The following is a 19,383-nucleotide window of genomic DNA, read 5'->3' on the forward strand; positions in this document are numbered from 1 at the left end:
TTTTCCTCCTTCTCCTATTTCTCAGCCAGGGCTCGGGGGCTTGTGTGCTTCCAAGTCTTAATTATGATCCTGGATTTGAGGAATTCAGGGGGTGGATTCACACAGGATGGGGGAGTTATCAGTGAGCAGACAGAGGAGAAATACAAGGATTAATAACACGGAATAAATCATGGTTAATTACTGGGAAGAGACTGAAGGCAACTTCAGCGGGTGTATCATCTTATTGGATGGAATTGGAGGGGGAAATTTAATGTAATTGTCACAAACACAAGGCCAAGAAAAAATATTACAAGTTCAGTTCCTTGAACTTTCTGTTTCTAGGAAGTGTGTTGTTCATTAGCTGTGGGAGAAACACAGTCACAGCTGGCGAAAGCTTTCAGAATTTATGTGCAGACAGAAAATGCTGGAAGTCATGACTGAGTCTTTCTCAATAAGGAAGTGGTCTGAAGTTTGTGAAGAATGTGGAGGGTCAACCAGTGCCTGAGAGGCTGGGGAAAGGTGAGGTTTTATGAAGAATTTAGGAAAAGTCTTAGGATTCTCTCTGGCCTCCAGTTAGAAGCAGCAATTTCACCATTGGCAGTTTCAGTTGAAAAATATTTGGAGGGTGGATTTCCCAGCTATGATGTTATAAAAATAAGTGAAGGGAGGGAGTCAGGAGGAGACAGTTTAACGTTGTTAAGAGTTTAGACTCAAAAAAAAAAAAAAAAAAAAAAAAAAAGGCCAGGTGCAGTGGTTCACACCTATAATCCCAGCACTTTGGGAAGCTGAGGCGGACAGATCACCTGAGGTCAGGAGTTTGAGACCAGCTGGCCAATATGGTGAAACCCCATCTCTACTAAAAATACAAAAATTAGCCGGGCGTGGTAGTTCGTGCCTGTAATCTCAGCTACTCAGGAGGCTGAGGCAGGAGAATTGCTTGAACCTGGGAGGCGGAAGTTGTAGTGAGCCAAGATCTCGCCACTGCACTCCAGCCTGGACCACAGACCACAGCAAGACTCCGTTTCAATAATAATAATAGTAATAAAAAAGAGTTCAGACTCTGGTATATGGCTTGTGGCTGTCTGAGTTTGCTGTTCCCTTGTGCAATTTGCTAGCTGTGCCACCTTAAGCAAGTGATATCACCTTGTTAGACTTTTTACCTTCAATATGGGGCACCCTACTCACAAGCTGGGGCGCAGGGATTTTTAAACAAATAAGATGAACAGAAGAAGCATCCTCTCAGGAAGAACCTGAGGCTGGAGGTGCCACTGGAGAAGATTTATAGTTTTTCCAGACTAAAAGAATTGTTCAAGTTATTTGTTGTTTGTTTGCTTGTTTTTGTTTCTGCAGCCTAAAATAAAACTTTCAAATACAATAAAAAAAAAAAAAAAAAGAATTGCAGATGCTTCTCTCAAAACCCAAGAAAGCCAAGTAAAAATTAATGTTTTTCAAATATGAAAGATCAAAACAGGGACCAGACATCAAGTATTGCTCTGAGACGGGCCTGAATCAATTTATGAGTTAATTTTTCCAAGGTTAAGGATATGCCCAGAAGGAAAAATACGGAATCACAGACACAGTCCGTGTGGTCTGTGCCTTTCTCCAAAGATGACTTCCAGGACTTCACTATTTAAAGGGGAAAAGCTGCTGGAGGGGAAAAAGGGAGGGTCTGGAAATCCACAAGTTGCAAGGGAAAAGGAGAAGGTAGGGGAATAGTCAATTATGGATTTGTTTTGCAATCAGTAACTCAGTGTTTACATAAGATAAGGCGAAAGTGGAGTAGCTGCCTGTGGAGATATTTAACCTTTTATCTGTGCTATCTGTTTAGGAACAAAAGGAAAGGCAGTTTCATTGTATGACTCAGCTTTTAGCCGTTTTTTTGTTTGTTTGTTTTTTTTTTTTTTTTGAGAAGAGTCTGGCTCTGTCGCCCAGGCTGGAGTGCAGTGGCGCAATCTCAGCTCACTGCAGGCCATTCTCCTGCCTCAGCCTCCCTAGTAGCTGGGACTACAGGCGCCCGCCACCACGCCCGGCTAATTTTTTGTATTTTTATTAGAGACGGGGTTTCACCGTGTTAGCCAGGATGGTCTCGATCTCCTTACCTCGTGATCCGCCCATCTCGGCCTCCCAAAGTGCTGGGATTACAGGTGTGAGCCACGGCGCCCGGCCGAGGTCCTGAGTTTTCATTTCCTTTCACAGCATTAAGTAGTGGCCATGACCCAACCCCTCTCTGAGGCAGTTTCTCCCACCACCATGGGGACATGTCCTGGATGGGTGTGACACTCCGAGGGAATTTGACTCTAGCTCCCCAAAGAGGTAAGGAGCTGGACTTCTTAGTTCCCTTCTCTCTACTCATCCCCTCCAACCTCCCCCTTGGCCGCTGTGGTTAATCTCCCTCCACACACACATGCACACACAGGTACTAATGAAGTCCTAGTTTGTGAGTGAGCAGGGACCTTGGAATAAGTCCTTTCCTAAGGTAGGGTCTTAAGTTGCTATCCCCCTAGGAGCCTGAGTGCCTAGAGGGAGGGCGAGGAGACAGCCACAGGCAAGTTGCAATATTTTCTCTACATATTCTGCCTGGAATCAAGATGCTCAGGAAACGGCCGGGCGCGGTGGCTCACGCCTGTAATCCTGGCACTTTGGGAGGCCAAGGTGGGCGGATCAGGAGGCCAGGAATTCAAGACCAGCCTGGCCAACATGGTGAAACCCCATCTCTACTAATAACACAAAAATTAGCCAGGCGTGGTGGCACATGCATATAGTCCCAGCTACTCAGGAGGCTGAGGCAGGAGAATTGCTTAAACCAGGGAGGTGGAGGTTGCAGTGGGCCAGGATGGCGCCACTGAGGGAAAAAAAAAAAGACTCAGGAAAGAAGTTCTGGACTTAGAAAGTGGCTGGAGTTTTGTCTTGTATTTTTTTGTATTTTTAGTTGGGATGGAGTTATAACCATGTTGGCCAGGCTGCTCAAACTCCTGACCTCAGGTGATCCACCCAGCTCGGCCTCCCAGAGTGCTGGGATTACAGGCGTGAGCCACCGCACCAGGCCAGGATTCTGGTTTCTATGACCCACCTTAGAAAAGAGGCATTCTAGTTTCTATGGCTAGCCCTGGGGGAGAATGGCACTGAGAGACAGGAGGGCAGGAGAAGGTCAGAGAAAAGTTTTTGCTTCTGAGGCCTTCTCTTGGGGGCACTGTTTTCTGAGCCACAATAGGGACATTCAGTGTTTGTATGGAGCTCATTCCCTCTTCTCCTCTCCATGGAATTAAACACCTGACTAAGGCCGGATGCTATGGCTCTCGTCTGTAATCCCAGCTCTTTAAGAGGCTGAGACAGGTGGATCACTTGAGCTAAGGAATTCGAGACCAGCCTGGGCAACATATTAAGACCCTGTCTCTACAAAAAATACAAACGTGGCTGGGCGCGGTGGCTCACGCCTGTAATCTCAACACTTTGGGAGGCCGAGGCGAGCAGATCACGAGGTCAGGAGATCAACACCATCCTGGCTAACATGATGAAACCTCGTATTTACTAAAAATACAAAAAATTAGCCGGGCGTGGTGGTGGGCGCCTGTAGTCCCAGCAACTTCAGAGGCTGAGGCAGGAGAATGGCATGAACCTGGGAGGTGGAGCTTGCAGTGAGCCGAGATTGCGCCACTGAACTCCAGCCTGGGCAACAGAACGAGACTCTGTCTCAAAAAAAAAAAAAAATACAAACATTAGCTGGCTGTGGTGGTATGCATGGATAGTTCCAGCTACTCAGGAGGCTGAGGTGGGAGGATCGCTTGAGCCTGGGAGGTTGAGGCTGCAGTGAGTTGTGATCGCACCACTGCACTCCAGCCTGGGTAACAGAATGAAACCCTGTCTCAAAAAAAAAAAAAAAAAAAAAAGAAAAAGAAAAAGAAAAGAAAGAAAACACCACATACACACATGCCCTACTTGACTAGTTCTTCTCAAAGCCAAAGGGGAAAGAGGGAGGGCAAAGAACCTTTCTTCTTTTTTTTTTTTTTTTTTGAGACAGAGTCTTGCTCTGTCGCCCAGGCTGGAGTGCAGTGGCAGGATCTTGACTCACCACAACCTCCGCCTCCCGGGTTCAACTGATTCTCCTCGACTCAGCCTCCTAAGTAGCTGGGATTACAGGCGTGAGCCACCAAGCCCGGCTAATTTTTGTATTTTCGGTAGGGATGGGGTTTCATCATGTTGGTCAGGCTGGTCTGGAACTCCTAACCTCGGGTGATCCACCTGCCTTGGCCCCCCAAAGTGCTGGGATTACAGGCGTGAGCCACTGCACCCAGCAGAACCTTTCTTTTAAAGATGGTAGTGTCGGCCAGGAGAGGTGGCTTATGCCTGTAATCCCAGCACTTTGGGAGGCCAAGGCAGGTGGATCACCTGAGGTCAGGAGTTCGAGACCAGCCTGACCAACATGGCGAAACCCCGTCTCCACTGAAAATATAAAAATTAGCTGGGCATGGTGGCATGCACCTGTAATCCCAGTCACTCGGGTGGCTGAGGCAGGAGAATCGCTTGAACCCAGGAGTCGGAGGTTGTAGTGAGCCGCGATAGTTCCATTGCACTCCAGCCTGGGGAACAAGAGCAAAACTCCGCCTCAAAAATAAACAAACAAATAAATAAATAAATAAAGTAGTGTCTGCAAGAAGGAGGACTGACACATTATCCCCCCACTAGATGATTGCTCAGCAGAAAGGGGAGACTTCAGTGGAAACAAGACAGTATAGAATGGCCAGAAAGAGAAGGTGCAGGGATGATCACCTCACATAGGTGCAGAAAATGCCTCCTGCCTATGTGTCTACAGGCCGAGCTGGGCTAGCAGAGGTAGATGAACTTGGGGCAAAGGGTAAAAAGAATGGGCTCCTGATGCAATGGGGTGGAGGCAGCTTGACCAGGCATAGCCATCTTCCCAAGAGACCCTCAAACACGCTAGCGGGATGCTTGGGATGAGTCCCTCCTCAGCAGGAGCCCACTGGGGCCACCACCTGTCCATACCAAGCCTATAGATGACAAGCCAGGCCAGCGTAAATGGCCAAGGCGAGAGACCAAAACTACACCATAGCCAGTCACATAAAGAGCTATCTGTGCTTCCTCTCCATCCTTCCTACCCCGTTGTCAAAAATCTGTGTAAACACAGACAGAAGGGTGCGGGAATGAGCCTCTCCCTCCAGCCTTAAAGGCATCAATCAAGGCTGTGCTGGGAGGAGGTGGAGCCTGGTAGACTCTGACTTGACTATGAGATGAACTTTAACATTTGAACAGTTCCAAGCTTTAACAACTGAAATGAATGGCTTTAATGTCAGGAAGTGACTGAAAAGTTAGGGAATCTGACTGAGATAGTGTGAGGGCAGCCTGTCCCCTAGTGGGGAAGAGGCTGTTCGATCCAGCTGAATTGGTTCTTGGAAAAGAACTTTTCTGTTCCTAGCTTAGGGAAAACGTCTCTCCTCTGCGTCCCTCACCACCCCAGGGAAGATTATCGCCTTCAGTTAAACTGGGAAATCTGTGGCTCTGAGATTTGGCTCTGAAATCTCTGGCTTTAATTCACCCAACAAAGGTCACACCTCTACCAATGGCAGTGCCCAGACTAGAGCCTGATCCGTCCTCCTCTGCCAGGGGAGACTGAGGCATGGTGTGTGCCAGGCAGCCACATGGGGAGTCCACACTGGGAAGTGGAAGCCTGGGGAACCCTAGGTAAAGGTGGCCTGCCTGATGCAGGATTTACAATGTGAGCTGGTTTTTCTCTATCTTAGGAAGAGAAGAGGAAAACTTTCTGCTAATGTTATCGGTGGAGGCCATCCAGGCTCTTGGCATTTTGAACAAAGACTTGGCCAACCAGCTGGCCGTGTGGCCTAATGGATAAGGCGTCTGACTTCGGATCAAAAGATTGCAGGTTTGAGTTCTGCCACGGTCGTGGAGGGGTTATATTTTGTTGGGTGCGGTGGCTTATGCCTGTAATCCCAGCATCTTGGGAGGCCGAGGAAAGCGGATCACCTGAGGTCGGGAGTTTGAGGCCAGCCTGGCCAACATGGAGAAACCCCATCTCTACTAAAAATACAAAATTAGCCGGGCGTGGTGGCGCATGCCTGTAATCCCAGCTACTCGGTAGGCTCAGGCAGGAGAATCACTTGAACCTGGGAGGCAGAGGTTGCGGTGAGCTGAGATCACACTGTTACACTCCAGCCTGGGCAACAAGAGCAAAACTCTGTCTCAAAAAAAAAAAAAAAAAAAAAAAAAGGGCCGGGTGTGGTGGCTCACACCTGTAATCCCAGCACTTTGGGAGGCCAAGGCAGGCAACATGGTGAAACCCTGTCTCTACAAAAAAACCACAAAAATTAGCCAGGCATGATGGTGCACACCTGTAACCCCAGCTACCGGGGAGGCTGAGGTGGGAGAATCGCTTAAAGCTGGGTGGTGGAGGTTGCAGTGAGCTGAGATTGTGCCACTGTACTCCAGCCTGAGAGGCAGAGCAAGACTCCATCTCAAAAAAAAAAAAAAAAAAAGATGTAATTATTGGCTGGGTGTGGTGGCTCACACCTGTAATCCCAGCACTTTGGGAGGCCAAGGCAGGCAGATCACCCGAGGTCAGGAGTCCGAGACCAGCCTGGCCAACATGGTGAAACCCCGTTTCTACTAAAAATACAAAAAATTAACTGGGGTAGTGGTACACGCCCATAATCCCAGCTACTTGGGAGGCTGAGGCAAGAGAATGGCTTGAACCTGGGAGGCAGAGGTTGCAGTGAGCCGGGATTGCACCACTGCACTCCAGCCTGGGTAACAGAGCAAGACTCCATCTCCAAAAACAGGAAACAAAAGCAAACCTATAGAAAGATACGTTACTTGTGGGACACTTCTTTAAAAACAAAAGCAAAGGACAAATTTTTTTGAGAAAATTTCCTTTTTTATTAGAATATTTAAAAAACAACTGAATTGTATTAATTATTCACAAAAGGAATGACAATCCCCAAATTTGAGTGGATTTCTGGGTGGTTCAAGGAAGCTTCTACATGTTTTTCACAGGTAATGACACTACTAGTTAACAGCTCTGGATGTAGATGGGCAAGACTGGACGGCCATGCAGAGAAAAGAAAGGTGGGAGTGAAACTTTACAGAGAAAGCACCTGAGATGAGGGAAAGGCACCTTAGGTGTGTTTAAATAGCATTACAAAAGCTAAACATTAACCAGGAAATACAAGCTTTTTTCCCTATCACCCAAGTGACACCTGCTTCGCTTTGTCTTAGGTTTAAAAATATATTTGATCCCAGGAAGGATCTGAGTGATCTAAGTTGGACTAAACAGGAGGCAGTCTATAGGGAATGTGTATTTTTCAAGTAGGAGCATTTCTTTGCCTCTTTTGTTCAGGATCTCATCATTATATATCGTCAATGATTGGCAGTTTTTAATAAGAACTTAATTTGCAGAGAGAGAGAGAGAGAAAAGATAGGCAGGAAGGCAGGAAAGAAGGCAAGAAGGAAGAGAGGAAAGAAAGAAGGAAAGAAGGGAGGAAGGGAGGGAGGGAGGGAGAGACAGAAGGAAGGAAGGAAGGAAGGAAGGAAGGAAGGAAGGAGATAACTCTGTGATGATGCTGGAATGTACATGTCTCAGTGAGCAGTGACAGATGATTAGCCCTTTCTAAAGACCCCTTAAAGACACAAAATGGTAGGTAGCATTGATCTCACCTTCATACCCTGGGTGACCATACTTTGGGAAGCCCAAATTGAAATGATGTGATCACTGCCAATGAGTGTTGTGACTTCTAAGTGAGATGGCCCCCCAGACATAGCCACCAGAAAAAGCATCTGAATTCTCAGAGCTTGTCTTCTCCAGAATATATGAGAAATCATCAGAAGACATTGAAAACAAGAATGCCACGCCCATTGACCCCTGGGCATTGCTAAGGCATTCTGTTGGCTAGGTCCCTGGTTTATGTTCCAAAATTATCCAGTTCCAGGGATGGAGCAGATGTCTTACTGGTCCTCCCCAAGGAATGGATATCCAGGACCTCATAGTAATGTCAGAATGGGGCTGCACTGACCAGACAGTCCTCTTCATCCTAAACTGTGGGCAATTTGGCCTGGGAAGTCTCTTCTTATTGGAAGGGTAAAACCATGTTACCATTGTGAAGTTCGTCTCCCACAATTCCTATAATTAGGTTAGTCCAGTTCTTGCTCATAGCTAGAGACCTCGTTGTGGCTCTGCCTCCTTGGTTCTTCTATAAGGCCATAGGTGGCCTCAAGGTCAAGACATCTGGCAGAATAGAAAGCTTCACGCTGAGCCATATAAGCCCAGGTTCCGGGCAGCTTGGGAGATCCTGGGTGTTTTCCTCTGGGGAAATGGATAGTAAGCTGGTTTGCCAGACCTGTGTGGGTTCTTTATGGAAAGAGGACATTGAGTGCTGAATTTTAAGCCAGATTCCACTGCCTTTGTTTGGGTATTGCCCACCTGGCATGGAAGCTGGGCAGCCTCTGGGATTCCGGTTCCTTGCTGAGTCATCTGATTGGTTTCAAACAAGTGTGTGTCTCCTTCAGGAGGGAGCCTTTGATCAGATCCCACAAGCTTGCCCCTATGATGTACTTGATGACTGGTGTCCTGGGGGGAGGTTTGGACCAAACAATGCATCTCCAGGTGCGTGTGCCATGGAGACTTGGGGGCCTGAAGGCAGCCCTGGGCAGCCTCCTCCAGCCTCCCCTCCACCTCAGAATCTGCCTCTTCCAGGGACAGTGAGCTTCTTCTCTCCTTGTTAATCCAAACAGCATTGACCATCGATTCTGCAGGAGCAGGTGTGTTTCCTCCTGAAAAGAGAATGCACCAGCAGGGTCATCACTGGAAGGGACAGGGGCGGCTCTCACTTAGGGGGTCTCATTGCTTTCAAGCTGAAGGAAGGCCATCCCCAGAAGGTTCCTGGTACATTTCATGTGTGTACATGTGTACACACACAAGATCTCACTTGCATGCTCACACACATGCCCTTTTACACCTCACCCATATATACTCACACACACACAATTATTCATTCATTCAACACATATTTATTGAGCACTTAATATGTGCCAGGCATTATTTATTCTAGGTCCTGGGAATACAGCAATGAACATTGAGACAAAACCCACACCTTCCGGGGTGTGTCCTGGTTGAGTAGAGACAAAATTGCATATTTATAATAAAATTTCGGGTGGCAATCAATGCAATGGAAAATCTCAAGCATAATAGAGGGTCAAACACTGAAGTGGAGGAGTAAACTCTGGGAGGAGATAGGGAACTAGCGTTTGGGGCTAAAAGAAAGGCAAGGAACAAGAGCACACACAGACTCACACACATGTGGGTTCACATATTCTCACCAGTGGAAAAGATTATTCTTAACTTACGGGGTTTTGTGTTCTGGGATTCTTTTTGTTTGTTTGTTTGTTTGTTTTTTTGAGACAGAGTCTCACTCTGTTGCCCAGGCTGGAGTACAGTGGTGCAATCTTGGCTCACTGCAACCTCCACCTCCTGGGTTCAAGCGATTCTCCTGCCTCAGCCTCCTGAGTAGCTGGGATTACAAGGCACCTGCCACCATGCCTGACTACTTTTTGTATTTTTAGTAGAGACATGATTTTCACCATGTTGGCCAGGCTGGTCTTGAACTCCTGACCTCAAGTGATCCGCCCGCCTCAGACTCCCAAAGTGTTGGGATTACAGGCGTGAGCCACTGCGCTCGGCTGTGTCCTGGGATTCTGATAGTGAGTTTACCACCCAAGGCAGAAGAGGGAGGAGTTGTGTTTTGAAGCAGCTCCCTTTAGAGAACCAATCATTATCCTTCTCCTAGTCCACAGGCACTGCTCTGGGAGGACATCTGCAGCATTTACGGCTCCTCAGAACTGGCTTTAGGGTGAAAGAGGCAGACCAATGTCTCTTTTCTTTCTTGGGGACTTTTTTTTAAACCACCTAGTGGAATATGACAGTTCATTGTTAACTCTTGGTGGCAGTGAGAGGTATTGGAATGACTGAAAGGCATTTTCCTTATAGAAAGCAGGTGTGTGACCAGCTTGGAGCTCCTCAGAGGTGTCACTTAGGTTCACTTATCTGTTCCGGCACCTGTTATCACAGGAGGCCCTGGAGGTGACAATGTGCAGAGCAAGAGTGGGGAGATGATGTTGGAAGAATAAAGTCAGAAAGAAGCCCCTGAGCTCCAATTCAGGGATCCCAAAGAAACAGAAGACCAGCTGCAGCCATCTCAGCCAACAATTACTCTCCTGTCAACACTAACTCTAGTGTGACTCAAGATTTGTTCCGGCTTTGTAACTGGTTAATTCCTTAGTATTATTTTCCAGCATGAAATGAAGAAAACACTTTTTTTTTTTTTTTTTTTTTGAGATGGAGTCTTGCTCTGTCACCCAGGCTGGAGTGCAATGGCGCGATCTTGGCTCACTGCAACCTCCGCCCTCTGCATCCCGGGTTCAAGCGATTCTCCTGCCTCAGCCTCCCGAGTAGCTGGGTCTATAGGTGCCAGCCACCACGCCCAGCTACTTTTTTTTGTATTTTTAGTAGAGACGGGGTTTCACTGTGTTAGCCAGGATGGTCTCGATTTCCTGACCTTGTGATCCGCCCGCCTCGGCCTCCCAAAGTGCTTGGATTACAGGCGTGAGCCACCGCGGCCAGCCAAAGGAAACTTTTATAAATATCCAACATGTTATGTACTTATTTGAGAACAAGGAAGGAGGGAGACACAATGGGAGAACCTAGAAACTGGTATCCTAGCATTAGTTTAGAAGGAAAGGACTGAAGGTGGACAGGCCTGTTCAGCTGTCAGTCCCAGCCTGTGGTTCAGAGGAAAGGAAAAAGAGTTAGGCTGGGAGATACACAGGGACCCCACCCCAGAGCAGCCTCTGCTGAGAATCACCATGAGCCTTCTGTGGCAGTACCCTGCACATCTTGGGATGGTGCCTGCCCTTCACTGTACAAGAGAAAGAGAATTAGGGTAATTGACTGAAGAGTACAGGGAAATTTCGTATCATGTTTTTTATCTGTTTTGTTTTGGTTTTGGTAAGTCAGGGACTGGAAGGAAATGTACTCGTTATCTATAATACCTTCTTCATTCTCCACCCTTGATTCACTTTGCCAGAAGATACAAGTTGGAGAAGGGGTATTTTGAGCCCCTCCTTGATTTCTCTCTTCAGTGGGGATGAAGGAAGCGGGTGGAGAGAAGAGCGAAGAGAGTGGTAGAGAGACTCAGGGAGGAAAGAAGAATCGAAATTCACCCTAACTGCCTGAGACCTTTGGTGGAACCTCTCTCATCAAGCCAGAGTCAGGAAGACATGAGGTCTGGTCCTGAGTTCACCACTGACTCACTAGGAGACCCTAGGCCTCCATTTCCTCATCTATAAATGGAGATCTTAAAAAGGGAGCTACCTTACAAGGCTGCCAGGAATGTTCAATGAAATGTAATATAAAACATCCAGCCCAGATATAAGTCCCGACCCTAATCCCTTTTTCTACATGAGGCGAGTCACACAGTGTCTGACTGTGACAAAAGCATATTCCTTTTGGACACCAATCACTGGGAGTAATTGGGGCTCCACAGACTTCTGAAAGTAGCTCAAGGTCCCCTGGGTACTTACGTTGCATCAGGGAAGGCACGCTGCTACTTGTAACTGCATTTCCAGAAGCTGGATCCATCGCATAATGCTAAGACAGGGTGAAGAAAGCTAATTTCGGAGCCCTTCCTTTCATTGATCAGCTCCTAGAATTTCTGAGCTTCTAAACGCAACCCAATGTCTTGAGACATTGACTTCTAGCTTTAGTAGGAGCCCAGTCTCAATGCTCACTCTCTCTTCCTGGGTCTTTTTGCTGCACTGGGCACTGAGGATCACGGTCCTCTAAAATCCCTCTACCAGCTTGGCTTCATGACATTAATTGCTCTTGATTTTCTTATACCACTTAAAATATGTTTAATTGTGGTAAAATACATAGAACATAAAATGTACCATCTTAACCATTTTTAAGTGCACAGTTTAGTAGTGTTCAGTACATTCACATTGTGGAACCAATCTCCAGAATTCTTCAGTTTCTCTGACACTCTATAAGCATTAAACAATAACGCCCCACTTCCCCATGCCCCAGCCTCTGGCAACCACCATTCTGCTTTCCTTCTGTCTCTTTAAATATGACTACTCTACATACCTCATGTAAATGGGATTATACAGTATTTGTCTTTTTGGGACTGACTGACTTCACTCAGCATAATGTCCTCAAGTTTTATCCATGTTGTAGTGTATGGCAGAATTTCTTTCCTTTTTATGGCTGAATGATATGCCTGTCCTCAAATTTTGACTGCTCTCTCCATCTTCCCTGGCTTCATTTCCTCCTCTTGTTCCTTAAATATTTGAGTATTCCAGAACTCTAATTTTCATCCCAGTTTCTTATCAATTTACACATGGATTTGCCACAGTTTTATCCATGCCCATGGCTTCAGCTACCATCTATAGATGAATAACCCCAAATCTAGCTCTCCAGCCCAAATGAGATCCAGGCTGGATGGAAGGTCTACAGGCAACTATCTCCAATGCAGTATATTCAAAAACAAGTTCATCTCTCTCTACAAAAAGCCTTTTTCTCCACAAAAAGCCTTTTTCTCCTGTATTCTCAAGGAAAGATACCACCATCTATCCTGTTGCTAAAGTATAGGGGACAATTAATTGCTCTTTTGCCTCCTTAGTGCCATTTTCACCTTATTTTTGTCACCTTACTCTGATTTCTCCCTGGATAATTACCTACTCCTTCACATTCAGTGCTAGTGTTTCAAGTGGCCTTCCTACTTAGATACATGTGACATACGTGATCTTGTCCTCAGCCAGTCAGTGCATAAGGCCTTGATGAGCTTTATACATATTAGTTCATTTTATTCCTACAATAACCCTATGATTTGGGTACTACAGTTATTCCCAATTGACAGGTGAGGAAACTGAGCCCCAGAAAATTTATGTAACTTGTTTAAAGCTGCATATTAAGTAAATGGCAGAGCTGGGACTCAAACTCAGGCTGTGCTCCAAGACCCAGTACATGACCACTCCATTACACAGTATGCTGCCTCTCACAGTTAGATAAAGAATGTGGAACTCAGCCAAGTATGGTGGTTCACGCCCAGCACTTTTGAAGGTCGAGGTGGGTGGATCACCTGAGGTCAGGAGTTCAAGAGCAGCCTGGCCAACATGGTGAAACCCCATCTCTACTAAAAAAAATACAAAAATTAACCGAGCATGGTGGCAGGTGCCTGTAATCCAGCTACTCAGGAGGCTGAGGCAGGGAGAATTGCCTGAACCCGGGAGGCAGAGGTTTCAGTGAGCCGAGATTGCACCCCACTGCACTCCAGCCTGGGCAACAGAGTGAGAATCTGTCTCAAAAAAAAAAAAATGTGGAACTGCAAACTGCTGAAAGTGCCCTGAATGACCCTGACCTAGCTGGGAGGTCAGAAGTCTTCTCGGAGAAAGCCACACCTGGGCACTCCTTGCATGAACCATAATTTAGCACCTAGTAATGATGGGAAAGGGGGTACCGAGTTACCAAGAGCAGGAGAAAGGACGAGCACAGGGTATAGTGAATTCTCTGGGGGCATGTTGAATTTGAGATGTCTTTGGATCATCCCCACTAAGCAATTAGATTTGTGAGTCTGAATTGCAGGTGTATTAAGCATTGTGTTTCCATTTGATAGGGATTTAAATTGATAAATGTTTGTTGAATAACTGAATGAATAAATACCCTCAAGGGTGGGATAGAGCTTTAGGAACCTTTCAGTTTATGCCCTGCAGAGATGGTGACTGTTTGGCTGTGCCAGTTCACTCCTGCCAGGAACGAGGATTCCATTGGTTGGCAACAGCCCAGGTAATGGGAGATGGGCTCCTTCAGCTCAGAGGTGCCACTTTTGTTCCCAAAAGGCAGCACACTTCCTGCCCTAGACAGAGAGGTCCCTCTGGCCCCTGATTCCTGCCCAGTCTGGCCTGGCAAAGGGCAGCCCAAAGAGTCTACTGAACTCTACAAATAACCACAGAATCCCACAGAGCCCAGCTTTGACCTTTCAGGGTATCTTCCCTTCTCCCTCAACCTGTTCCTCTGTTAGAGGAGGAAGGGCTGGGATTTGACATGCCCTTGCTTTCTGAGCCCTGTGCCTCTAACTCCCTCCTGGAATGAAATCTGAGTTCCTAAAGGGAGGAGGTTTCTCCCCATGAGGGGGTTTCTGTGTCCAATCACACCTCCCTGCCTGATGTTTGAGGCTGGATGAGCCTGGGATGCCTCATGGGTCTCTGAGCCCTAGGCGTCCTCTGGCCCAGACAGTTCCCAGGCTGTTGGGAACGCCATGTCTTCTACCTCCAGAGTGAATTTCTCTGGTTTGTAGGAGGTGCCTTAGTTAGACCCAGCCAGGAAGCAGAGCTCCTATCGCCATACCTGGGCTAGCAGGGGGGCCAAGCCTGGCTCACCAGGCTGACCAGTCTAGCAAGATTAGAACATCAGAGCAGAGGCCAGGAACAGTGCTGGCAGCCAGGTGCTTGGCTGAGGCCCCTGGCTCCCTTAGCAGGTGGGACAGCTGAGCAGAGCTGCCCTGAGCCCGCCTCCCCTGCTCTTCCCCACTGGGAGGGAGGGCTGGCAAAGCCCTGGCTCTGCCTCCCTGCAGCTCTGCCACTCAGGTCTCCCATGGTAAGTCTCTCCTTCCCCAGCACCTGTCCATTCCTACCTTTTGGAAGCACCAGGAGGTGGGCCTGGGTCCTCTGCTGCCTCTTCAAGCCTTCATACTGGGCTCGCAGGAACTGGATGCTGAGTGGGGGCCCTTTCCCAGGGGCCTGAGTCCTGGAGCCCTCAGCCATTAAGTGAGACCTAAGCTGCCAGAAGTGGGGCAGGGCTGGGCACGGGCAGGGCAACCCCTCCATCCGGATCCGGGAGAAAAGCAAACACAGCTGGGTGGGGCAGGACCTGGGGAGGGGAGAGAGAGGGAGGGGGCAGTGAGGGAGAAGGAGAAGTGACGGGCAAAAGGAGGGTGGAAAGAGGAGTGGGACTGAGGAAGGAGATAGAAAAATAAGGGGGAAGGAGAAAGATGAAGGGGAAGAGGAGGTAGGGATAGGGAGAAATGTGGGGGAGGAGAAAGGTGGGAGACAGTGGCAGTAAGAGGAGAAGGAAATGTCAGAGGAAAGAAGGGGCAGCGAAGGGGGAAAGACTGGAGGAAGGAGGTGATAGTGACAAGCGGGGATTAATGGGGCGAGAGAAGAAAGAGAGGGAGGAAGATGGAGACAGGCAGGAGGAGGCAGGGAAAGGAGTGATGGGGAGTGGGAGACCGAGAAGTAAGGGGAGGACTGGGGGAGCAAAGAGAAAGGCAAGCCCAGCTGCTCAGAGCCCTTCAGGGGGGTCAAGAAGGTGTCTTATTCCAGGTCCTTCCATTGCTTGATCCTAAAGTTTAGAATCCAATTCCCAGTGCCACGGTGAAGTCTCCCCTTTCCTGGCAGAGCTGGGACTGGGGCTGGGGAGTGCTAAGCTCGCGCTCTGCTCACACATTTTGGACTGGAACGTGGCCACTTTTCAGCAAACCTGCCGGTTGGGTTTGCAGTAGTTCAAAGAACACCCTCGGGAGCTTCACAAGGTCGGTGCCTCTGGATGTGTGCCCCGCGGCCACACCCTAAAGAAACCCAGTAGCAAAGATCTCCCCAAGATCTCCACTCAGACCCCAACACACACCCCAGGTGAAAATTCAGCCCTAAAGTCAGCCATGGGACAGAGCCCAGGGGAATCTTGGCCTCGGGCCAGCCCTACCCCTTGGACATTTGGTGCAGCCTCTGCCGTCTCAGCATTCTCCAACCAAGTGGTAAGTTAGGCATCCCCTCACTCTCTGCTTGCCAGCCTCAACATTTCCACATTGCTTTTGAATCCCAGACCCTCTCCCTCTTACACCAGCTTTGACCTAGCCTTGCTGCATTTGGTCAACTAAGTCCCTTTCTATCTTCTCCTATCACGGTGCTTACTGATTACCCAATTACCCAATATGTCTACAGAGGCAATGGAAACAGAGTAGAGCCTGAACCTACAAGACATTTTGGACATTAACCAGACAAGATCTAGTCATTTGATGTGGGGGAGCCGTGGAAGATGGAGAGCAAATCTTCACTGGGTAGTATATGTTAGTTTTGCTAGGGCTGCCATAACGAAATCCCACAAACTGGATGTCTTAAACAACAAACATTATTGTCTCAGAGTTCTGGAGGTTAGAAGTCCAAAGTCAAGGTGTGAGCAGGGTTGGTTTCTTCTTGGAGCTGTGTGAGAGTATCTGTTCCATGCCTCTCACCTTGCTTCTGATGGTTTGCTAGCAATCTCTGGTATTCTTTGGCTTGCAAAAACATTGCCTAATCTCTGCCTTTATCTTGACATGATGTTCTTCCTTTTTATTTTTTTATTTTATTTTTTTTTTGAGAGGGAGTCTCACTCTGTCGCCCAGGCTGGAGTGCAGTGGCGTAATCTCAGCTCACTGCAAGCTCTGCCTCCCGGGTTCGCATCATTCTCCTGCCTCAGCCTCCCGAGTAGCTGGGACTACAGGCACCCGCCACCGCGCCCAGCTAATTTTTTGTATTTTTCGTAGAGACAGGGTTTCACCGTGGTCTCGATCTCCTGACCTTGTGATCCGCCCGCCTTGGCCTCCCAAAGTGCTGGGATTACAGGCGTGAGCCACCACACCCGGCCTAATATGATGTTCTTCCTATGTGGGTGTCTCTGTGCCCAATTTTCCCCTTTTTATAAGTACAGCAATCACATTGGATTAGAGCTCAATCTGTCTCAAAAAAATACCGAGAGAGATAGCCAAAGCTTCCTCATACCTTTTTATCGGTAGATCACTCTATCATGAAGGCAAGAGCAACCCATCCATGCTGGACCAGCTGCACCTGCCATGAAATCATGGCAGTAGACATCATGGCAGTAGGCTGGCCACAATGGCTCACAACTGTAATCCCAGCACTTTGGGAGGCTGAGGTGGGTGTATTGATTGTGCCCTGGAGTTCAGGACCAGCCTGGGCAACATAGTGAAACTCTGTATCTACAAAAATTAGCCAGGCATGGTGGCACATGCCTGTAGTCCGAGCTACTCGGGTGGCTGAGGTGGGATGATCACTTGAACCCAGAAGCTCGAGGCTGAAATGAGCCATGATTGCACCACTGTACTTCAGCCTGGGTAACAGAGTGAGCTCCTGTCTCAGAAAGAAAAGAGAAGAGAAGAGAAGAGAAGAGAAGAGAAGAGAAGAGAAGAGAAGAGGAGGAGAGAAATAATGGCAGTAGAAATTTCTACTATATTTTCGCATTTACTTGTCAGCCTTCATCTTTTAGTATTAACAGTTTTTGTCTTTTTCTATATGGGTGCGTTTGTGGATATTTTGATGAGAAGTAAATTGAGGCTGTCTACTGCTGATTGAATGCCTTTTAGGAGCTTAAATTCCTTCTTTTAGTTCATATAGTTCCTCTTTCTTTTAAAACTCAAATCTTTAATCCATTTGAAATTTATTTTGGTGTTGTGTTAGGTATAAGGCAAGGATCTAGGGGTTTTTTCCTCCAAATAATTGACCAGTTGTTTCAATAGCACTTACTGAATAAACTTTCCTTTCCTTGGTCTGTGATAACAATAACAATAGTATAAGAAAAAACTGGCAACTCTATCTCATCCCAGGGAGTCTTCAGAAATAAATGAAAAAAGATGATCAAGCCTGGAGTTTGTTCTGGGTGGCTGCCACTAAATGGGTGACTTTCATTATCCAGGTATATCCTTCAGAGGAACTGGAAATAAGCTTCAAAGTTGTTCAGGGCTGGAGACGCTGGAGTAGGAATAAGATGTCTTGTGATTCTAGGGAATATTTTGTTTTTCTGTATATATGTAAACTGTATGGAACATGAAATGTCCCATTCTGGTTGAGAGATAAGACTGTGCTTAATGTAGCAGGTTAGTTCATTACCGGAACCAGCATCCCTACAGCCCTCCCTGGAGCTTCCAGTAAAATAACTTAGACCAGAGGCTCCAGGTCCACTCCTGTCCAGGGGATCCAGCTATTCTGTGAGACTTGAGTGGCAACAGGTATCACTCACAACTGGGGTACCACTCCAGAGAGAATGACTCAGACAATAACCCTGTCCATACAAAGACCAGTCATTGGTGGGTAGAGACTCAGAGACTTGAAGAAGGAATCCCTTAGGGAGCTGGCTTGAGAGCAGCAGGCTGGGTCAGCCCAGTATACAGTGGGGGCAGGACAGGAGTGGTGGATCCTGTTCTTGTGAAGAACTTCAGTTTGGAGTTCTTTCCACTGGAGACTCCAGGAAAACTTGAGTTACCCTGTTCTTTCACTTTTCCTCTCCCCTATAATAAGTTCGCTCTGAGATTATCCCATCCCTGAAGCCTAGTGATCTAGCCTTAGAGAATCAAGAGGGCAAGATTGCAAGGGATGGAGGCTTCCCTGTGCTCTCTTCTCTCTGGTTCCAATGAGGAGGGGACCTTGTCCTATGGAGTGGACTGTGATTTGCAGGTGTATGAATGACAGTGTCCACAGGAGAGCCAAGTATGACGAAGAAGGACTCAGGATGTCAAGAAGTGCTTCAGGGCAGACAGACTAAAAAATTCAAAGCTCTCAGCCTTAAGAGTAAGGGAGATTCCTCTCTGAAAAAAGAGAGGCTAGGCTAGACATATGAAAACAATAGTTATAACCATTGATCTAAAACTGCAGTGGGTCAGATATGTGCTAATCACTCTATGTAAATGATCAATTTTTTCATTATGGTAATATTTGTGTAAATGAAATTGACTATTTTAACAATTTTTCAGTGTACAGTTCAGTGGCATTGCATCCATTCACAGTGCCCTGCAACAATCACCATTATTTCCAGCGTATCCATCATCGCAAACAGAAACTCTGTACCCATTAAATAATGCTCCCCACTTCCCTACATCCCTGGCAACCTCTACTATACTTCCTGTCCCTATGACTTTAGTACCCAACCTAAGTGGAATCATACAATATTTGTAATATATTGGACTGGCTTATTTCACTTAACATGTTGTCAAGGCCCATTCATGTTGTAAACATTCATCAGAACTTCGTTCCTTTTTATGGCTGAATAATATTCCATTGTATGGACAGGCCACAGTTTGTTTACCCATTCATCTGTTGATGGAGATTTGGGTTGTTTCCACCTTTTGGCTATTGGGAATAGTGCTGCTATGAACATTGATATACAAGTGTGTGTTTGCATTCCTGCTGTGAATTCTTTTGGAAAAGCTGGACTATATAATAATTCTATGTTTAGCTTTTTTGAGGAACCTGGACAAAATTAAATTTAATTTCTCATGAGAACACTGTGAGAGAAGAAACATTACTATCCTTTCTCCTTCACCTTTTACACCCAAACCATCT

General features: G+C 47.1%; 1 protein-coding gene across 1 annotated transcript, besides 2 other annotated features; it reads right to left on the minus strand.

Moving 5' to 3' along the window:
• Nucleotides 1–6,861: 6,861 nt before the first annotated feature.
• On the minus strand, nt 6,862–15,460 carry C9orf152 (chromosome 9 open reading frame 152). Its single transcript, NM_001012993.3, has 2 exons — nt 14,688–15,460; nt 6,862–8,775 (listed from the first exon to the last, which is right to left on the minus strand). Exons 1-2 carry the CDS (start codon nt 14,878–14,880, stop codon nt 8,249–8,251), a joined length of 720 nt encoding a protein of 239 aa, NP_001013011.2. The 5' UTR covers nt 14,881–15,460; the 3' UTR covers nt 6,862–8,248.
• Nucleotides 14,129–14,629: an enhancer, noted in NCBI's record as "H3K4me1 hESC enhancer chr9:112969108-112969608 (GRCh37/hg19 assembly coordinates)". NCBI's record gives its function as "activates a minimal SCP1, AML or CMV promoter by ChIP-STARR-seq in naive H9 embryonic stem cells {active_cell/tissue: H9 hESC(naive)}" and the evidence as "EXISTENCE:reporter gene assay evidence [ECO:0000049][PMID:30033119]".
• Nucleotides 14,630–15,130: an enhancer, noted in NCBI's record as "H3K4me1 hESC enhancer chr9:112969609-112970109 (GRCh37/hg19 assembly coordinates)". NCBI's record gives its function as "activates a minimal SCP1, AML or CMV promoter by ChIP-STARR-seq in naive H9 embryonic stem cells {active_cell/tissue: H9 hESC(naive)}" and the evidence as "EXISTENCE:reporter gene assay evidence [ECO:0000049][PMID:30033119]".
• Nucleotides 15,461–19,383: the final 3,923 nt, after the last annotated feature.

The sequence above is a fragment of the Homo sapiens genome, chromosome 9, assembly GCF_000001405.40.
Source record: "Homo sapiens chromosome 9, GRCh38.p14 Primary Assembly".
Lineage (NCBI taxonomy): Eukaryota > Metazoa > Chordata > Mammalia > Primates > Hominidae > Homo > Homo sapiens.

Excerpts from the sequence above, each read along its gene's own strand:
- C9orf152 (NM_001012993.3), bottom strand. The coding sequence starts at position 14,880 with ATGGAGGGGTTGCCCTGCCCGTGCCCAGCCCTGCCCCACTTCTGGCAG. Across the intron at positions 8,776-14,687 it reads CCTCCTGGTGCTTCCAAAAG|GAGGAAACACACCTGCTCCT; the intron begins GTAGGAATGGAC and ends TTCTCTTTTCAG.